Here is a 6,945-nt window from a genome sequence, read left to right on the forward strand (position 1 = left end):
AGGTACTTGGGAGGCTGAGGTGAGAGGATCATTTGAGCCCGGGATGTTGAGGCTATAGTGAGCTGAGATTGCGCCAGTGCACTCCAGCCTGGGTGACAGAGCCAGACTCTGTTTCAAAAAAAAAAAAAAAATTGGACTTTACCCATCCACCCATCCATTTGTCTACCCAAAACCCATCTATAGTAGTCTCTCCTTATCTGTGGAGGACACGTTCCAAGACCTCAGTGGACACCTGAAACCTCTGATAACACTGAGCCAGTTACACATACACACACAATATGTTTTTTCCTAGACCTGTGTACTTATGATAAAGTTGAATTTATCAATTAGGCATAGTAAGAGATTAACAACAACTGATAAAAAATAGAACAATTAAACAATATACCATAATAAAAGTTATGTGAATGTGCTCTCTGTCTCTCAGAATATCCTATTATACTGTATCACACGTAACTGTAATCTCAGAAAGCGAAACCACAGGTGGATAAGGGGCAATTACTGTATTCCAGGAACTCTGCTAGGCATTGGAGATAAGGAAACGAATAAGAGATATTTCCTTTGCTCAAGAAGCCATGGGTAAACGGCAGTTACACCCCAGGGCCATACGTGCTGTGAGAGGGAAGAGGCCAGCGGTCTGTGGGAGCTTAGGAAGGGCGGCTCCCCCAACCTGGGACAAGAGTGGCGTGGAAACCTTCCAGCTAGAGGCAGTTTTTCAGCTGAGACCTGAAGGGTGAGTGGGAGCTATTGGTGGAGTGTGCCGAGAGGAAGGGAGAGATACCTGGAGAGGGAGAAACAGTACGAGAGCCTGGAGGCCAGAGCATGGGATGTTCGCAGTGCTGCAGGTAGCTGGGTATGGCTGTGGCGTCAAAGGCGGGCAACGGGATGCCACGAGGGGAGGGGTGGGCGAGACCCATGGGGCTGATCTACCTGAGATGCTAATGGCGTCTCCCCTCTGAAAGTTTCATGTGTTTTTGGTTTGCTCAAGGAGGCTGGGAAAAGAAAACAATTCCTTACCATGTGACCCCAGCAGCCCAGAGAGGGTGAGCGCCTGACAAAAGCCCCACAGCCATTCTTCAGCAGGTCTCTGACTTCCAGCCCAGTCTTTGCCCCAGGCCTGGCTTGCCCTTGAAACTACCCAACGATCTGAGAGCTCCCCGCAGCCTGTCCCACTGGAAGAAGCAGTAGGGGCCATGTGCCCACTCCCTGGGCACCCTGTAACTCAGCTCAGCCTCTCTCCCTCGGCTCTCTCGGCTCTGTCGGCCATGCCTTTGATGAGGAGGTCCGGCTGCTTAGTCACTGGGGCCAGCACAGGCAGCCCCTCGCTGTGGAGCATCCCTCCAGTGGAGCACAACATTTCCTCCAGGTCTCTGGGGCATGCTCCCCGACTCCCCTAGAAGGCTCCAGCAGGGTTTGGTGCTGGTCAGGAGGTCCAGGGGGGCTGGCTGCATCTTGTATTTGAGTTGCACGTTGTGTTTGTGTATGTACGTTGCATAGTGCACATGGCATGGGTTTGCTGGGTGTGTAGTATGAGGGGTGGATTGTGTGTTGCCCATGTGTGGTTTGTGTATGTGTGAACTGGGTGGTTTGTGGGTCTTACAGGGCACATGCGTGCTCCACCCTTTATTCGTTCAGGCTGCAGGAAAGCCAGCCTCTGGGGCCCACTCTGCTCAGGCCGGGACTGGACCTAGCGTTTGGGGAAGTATGAGCTGCCCACCCTTTCAGCAGAGCCCTTGGTGGGCAAAATGGCCATTATGGTTGACTCTGTGGGGCCAGTTCAGGGGACCCAAGGCCTGATGACCAGTTTCCAGTGGGGTGTTATTCCACTCAGGCGGGTCAAGGGAGAGGGCAGGAGAAAGAGGAGAGGGAGCTGGGCGGGGGCGAGCATGGGGCCTCCTAGGGAAGGGCAGGGATGGCAAGAGGTGAAACAGCTTGGGCATCGCTGGACCGGGAATTCACCTCCTAACTCCTCAGCTCCTTCAAGTCTTTGTGCAAATGTCACCTTCTCAAAGAGGTCTCCCCTCCCCTCCTGATTCAAGATCACAACTTCGCACCTCACTTCCACCGTCCTAACTCTCCCCTGCTTTGTCTTCTTTTTGCTGACATAGTCTGTGCCCTCTTCTAACCACCGTATAATTTACTCATTTATTATGTGATTCTTTATTGTCTGTCTCCTCTCACCCCACCCCAACACTGGGATTATTTTGTCGGTTTTGTTCATAGACAGATCCCACATGCCTGCGGTGACCGCTTCGTGGGCCCTCAAGAAATATTTGTGGGGCCGGGTGTAGCGGCTCACACCTGTAATCCCAGCACTTTGGGAGGCTGGGGCTAGCGGATCACCTGAGGTCAGGAGTTCGAGACCAGCCTGGCCAACATGGCAAAACCCCGTCTCTACTAAAAATAGAAAAATTAGCCAGGCGTGGTGGCAAGTGCCTGTAATCCCAGCTACTCAGCAGGCTGAGGCAGGAGAATCGCTTGAACCTGGGAGGTGGAGGTTACAGTGAGCCAAGATCATGCCATTGCACTCCAGCCTGGGCGACAGAGCGAAACTCTGTCTCAAAAAAAGCGAAATATTTGCGGATTGAATGCACGCGTGAATGAACAGTGTCTGCCCCTGGGAGGGCGGGCTTGGGTCTGGGGTGCTCCAAGTGTGTCCCTGAGCATCTCCTTGGACCGTGGGAGCGGGGCCTCCCAGCCTGAGCTTGGGACAGCTGGTGGGCAGCAGGTGGTGAAGCGGGCGGGGGCTGCCACTCCATGTCCCCTGCCACGGACCCACCTTCCACTGCCTCAGATGCCATGCCCCACTGGACACTGGCTGGTATCCTCTTCCCCAGGCCAGCCCTGGACCCAGCGGGCAGCATCTTGGCATCCTCCTTCCTGGCCCTGGAGGGTGTGAAGCCAGCTCTGGGCTTCCCGGGAAGTGTGTGCCTGTCCCCTTCCTCTTGCAGCCAACCCTGCTCCAGTGCCCCCTCCTCTGAGGCTTGTCTGTGTTAAACTGCCCGGAGGGGTCTCTGTCCCAGCTGCACAGCCTCTGGGGAAACCTCTCAGAAGCTTCTGGAGAGGCCCAGCGGCTGTGGCGGGTGTGATGAGACCTTTTTCCAGGGCTCCTGCCCAGCAACAGGAACCTTCCTTCCCAACACAGCCACGTGGTGTCCTCCTGACAGGCGGGGGAGGGACAGATGGTTCCCTATGTACCGGCATCCTCTGTCTTGTGTCTCAGGGGGTGCCTTCGCTGGCCAGGGCCTGCACTTTCCAGTGTCCTGGGAGTGTGGATCAGGGACTCTGGAGGCTTCCTTCCCAGGGCTGGTTCCCAATTGGCTTCCCAAATGTCACAGATCCAGACTAAGCGTCTTCACCCTCAACCCCGTCTCATCAGGCCCAGTGAAGGGTGTCCCGATGGCCCAGGGGCTCAGCTCTAAAGCCCTGGGGTTGTCCTTGACACCTGTCTCTCTCACACGCTGTCTTTCAAGGAATCCTGGAGGCTCTACCTTCAAATAATCAGAATCCAACAACTTCTTCCCCGCGCTGCTGCCTCTTCCTGGTCAGAGATGCCGCTGACTGTACCGGGAGCAATGCCCTGGTCTCCTAACTGGTCTCCTGCCTCTACACTTGCCCCCTCCGGTCTGTTAAGTCCACGTCCTGTTCTGGATGTTTCATATAAATGGAATCACACAATCAGTGGTACTGTGTGACTGGTTTATTTCCTGAGTGCTACATTTTACAACTCCGTGATGTTATTATTTGGTTGGAGCAAAAGTTATTGCAGTTTTGGCCATTGCTTTTAATGGCAAATCCGCAAGAACGTTTGCATCAACCTAAATAAGTAAGCAATGGTTAAACCATACATTCTCAAATGTATTAGAAAGGAATAATAGTAAATATTTGGAAGACAGTCAGTGGGGCAGGATGCGAGGTAAGAAGAGTGACTGTAGGTCAGGAGTCAGGGGCGTCGGGTTCTAGTCCTGATTCTGTCTTTAGCCATGCAACCAAGTGAGCACAGCAACCTCTCTGGGGACACTAATACATTTGTTCAAGCCGCCCAGCAACTAATGGAAAGAGATTACAGCTAGGACTCTCCTATAAGACTGACAACAGCATGCCTGGGGCAGGCCTGCAACTGAGCACCAGGAGGCAGCCTGGGGACTTCTGCTGCCATCTACCCCAAAGTATCTCTGGTCTCCCTGGCTAGGAATTTTTTTTTTTTTTTTTTTTGAGACGGAGTCTCACTGTGTAGCCCACGTTGGAGTGCAATGGCATGAACTTGGCTCGCTGCAACCTCTGCCTCCTAGGTTCAAGTGATTCTCCTGCCTCAGCTTCCCGAGTAGCTGGAATTACAGGCACCTGCCACCTTGCCTGGCTAATTTTTGTATTTTTAGTAGAGTAGGAGTTTTGCCATGTTGTCCAGACTGGTCTCCAACTCCTGAACTCAGGTGATCTGCCCGCCTCAGCCTCCCAAAGTGCTGGGATTACAGGTGTGAGCCACCCTGCCCAGCTGGCTAGGTCTTTAAGAATTGAGGGGAAGTTTTGGGAGGCCAAGGCGGGTGGATCACTTGAGGTCAGGAGTTTGAGACCAGCCTGGACAACAGGGGAAACTCTGTCTCTACTAAAAATACAAAAATTAGCTGGGCATGGTGGCTGTAATCCCAGCTACTTGGGAGGCTGAGGCAGGAGAATTGCTTGAACCCGGGAGGCGGAGGTTGCAGTGAGCCGAGATGGCGCCACTGCACTCCAGCCTCAGTAACAGAGCGAGACTGCATCTTAAAACAAACAAACAAACAAACAAACAGCCAAAAGGAATTGAGGGAAGTCATGACGAGAAGCATCGATTGGGTTCCTGAAAGCCCCAGTTCACATTCCAGCTCGCTCCTTACCAGCTGCATGCCTAACCTCCATGAACCTCAGTCCTCTCATCTGTAAAATGGGCTAATGCAAGCATCTCCATCCTAGGGCTGCTGAAACAAAACATGATAAAGTGCATGGCAGGCTCCCAGTAAGTGCTTGACAAACCAACTATGTTCTCTCTCTTTTTTTTTTTCCTTTGAGACAGTCTTGCTCTGTCACCCAGTGGCATGATCTTGGCTCACTGCAACATCTGTCTCCCGGGTTCAAGTGATTCTTCTGCCTCAGCCTCCTGAGTAGCTGAGATTACAGGCTCATGCCACCACACCTGGCTAATTTTTGTATTTTTTTTTTAATAGTGATGGGGTTTCACCGTGTTGGCCAGGCTGGTCTTGAACTCCTGACCTCAGGTGATCTGCCCCCCTTGGCTTCCCAAACTACTGGGATTACAGGCATGCCCGGCCCATGTTCTCTCTGGAGGCAAGAAGTCTTTGTCTGAATGAAGACAGGAAGGCTGGAGGAGAGGCAAGTTCAAAGGCTGAGGCCTTTCAGCCCTGAGGCTGCCCAGGTGGTGTTGAAGACAGGGCACCGGTGTGGGGTGGCAAAGCAGGAACAACTTCTTGCTTATCCTTTCCGGTTTGGACCACAGTGGTTCCCTGCTGGACTGTCTATTTCAGTGGTGGAAGCCTGCGCTGAGATTTATCGTCGTGTTCCTGCTGCCTGCAGACCGTGGGAAGGTAAAAAATGTCCTTTTTCAGGCAATAAAATAGAAAATGGAATCCAATTTCTCTCCAGGGTAAGAATCATTATGTTTCACAATGATTGTAAAGTGTGCAGCAGTGAGGAGTGGGGTGGCTGCTGGAGCCTGGGTGAGGAGGGGGAGGGGGTAGTGCCTGCAAGGTGGCTGTCGACAGTCACCAAAGTGGGCCTGGAAGGAGCCCAGGAGGCAGGGATGCCACCCCATCTGATGCCTGGGTACCCGCAAGGCCTCCATGTGGCTTCAATGCACATTTATCAAGCACCTGTGCTGGACAGGGAGAGGTGGGACGGCCACTCTGCTTGCTGCTCCTGGCATGTTGGACAGAGATGAATAAACATGTGTTCAGGTAAATGAAATTGAATTGAGTGTTAAGGAATTTGGATCTTATCCAGGGTACCAAGAAACCAAGATTTAAGGATTTAAGGTTGTGTGTGTGTGCGTGTGTGTGTGTGCTTACATTTTTTGAAATATAACTTATAAAGTGCACACATCTTAAGTGTCTAGTTTAATAATTTTTTTCACATGGAGGCACCATGTCCACCACGCAGTGAGCTACAGAACATTTATAGCACTCCAGAAAGTTCCCTCGTGCCCCTTGCTTATAGATACTCCCCACAATAATCACTGTTGACTCATTCTCGCTTCTTGAACTTCATGTAATTGGAGTCATCCATTAAGCACACTTCTGAGTTTTCCCTTCTCTTGCTCATCACTATCAGCAAAGTCCACCCACGTTGTTGTGTGTAGCAGGAGCAGTTCACTGTTTTTCATCGCTGCTTATTGTTCCATGTTATATCACGATTTTTGGATCTTCAATGCTGTTGATGGACATTATGATTTGGGGCTTTGCCTAGTAAAGCTACAGAGAATGTTCTTGTGTGTCTTTCACTGGACCTAATGAAGAGTTTTAAGTAGAGTAGGGACATATTAGATCAGATTTTTTTTTTTTTTTTTAAACAGAGTTGCTCTGTCGCCCAGGCTGGAGTACAATGGCATGATCTCGGCTCACTGCAACTTCCACCTCCTGGGCTCAAGCAATTCTTGTGCCTCAGCCTCCCAAGTAGGTGGAGCTACAGGTGCACACCACCATGCCCAGCTAAGTTTTGTATTTTTAGTAGAGACAGGGTTTTACCATGTTGGCCAGGCTGGTCTTGAACTCCTGACCTCAAGTGATCCGCCTGCCTTGGCCTTTCAAAGTGCTGGGATTACAGGAGTGAGTCGCCACACCCAGCCTAGATCGGATTTAAAAAAAAACTTTTGTTTCTTTAACTTTATTTTTTTCTGAGTGATTTTAGGTTCACAGAAAAGTTAAGAAGGTACAGAGACTTCCCATATACCCTCTGCCC

The 6,945-nt window shown here is 51.3% G+C and overlaps 1 long non-coding RNA gene across 1 annotated transcript, besides 2 other annotated features; it reads left to right on the forward strand.

The window, feature by feature from the left end:
* Positions 1 to 399: 399 nt before the first annotated feature.
* Positions 400 to 3,678, forward strand: LOC124903841 (uncharacterized). The gene is made up of 2 exons (XR_007065459.1): positions 400 to 730; positions 3,471 to 3,678. It is a non-coding gene; the product is annotated as an uncharacterized LOC124903841 (long non-coding RNA).
* Positions 995 to 1,494: an enhancer, noted in NCBI's record as "H3K4me1 hESC enhancer chr1:11455587-11456086 (GRCh37/hg19 assembly coordinates)". NCBI's record gives its function as "activates a minimal SCP1, AML or CMV promoter by ChIP-STARR-seq in naive H9 embryonic stem cells {active_cell/tissue: H9 hESC(naive)}" and the evidence as "EXISTENCE:reporter gene assay evidence [ECO:0000049][PMID:30033119]".
* Positions 6,153 to 6,353: a silencer, noted in NCBI's record as "peak75 fragment used in MPRA reporter construct". NCBI's record gives its function as "represses an SCP1 promoter by STARR-seq MPRAs in K562 erythroleukemia cells {active_cell/tissue: K562}" and the evidence as "EXISTENCE:reporter gene assay evidence [ECO:0000049][PMID:32103011]".

Source organism: Homo sapiens, chromosome 1 (assembly GCF_000001405.40).
Source record: "Homo sapiens chromosome 1, GRCh38.p14 Primary Assembly".
In the NCBI taxonomy this organism is placed as follows: Eukaryota; Metazoa; Chordata; class Mammalia; order Primates; family Hominidae; genus Homo; species Homo sapiens.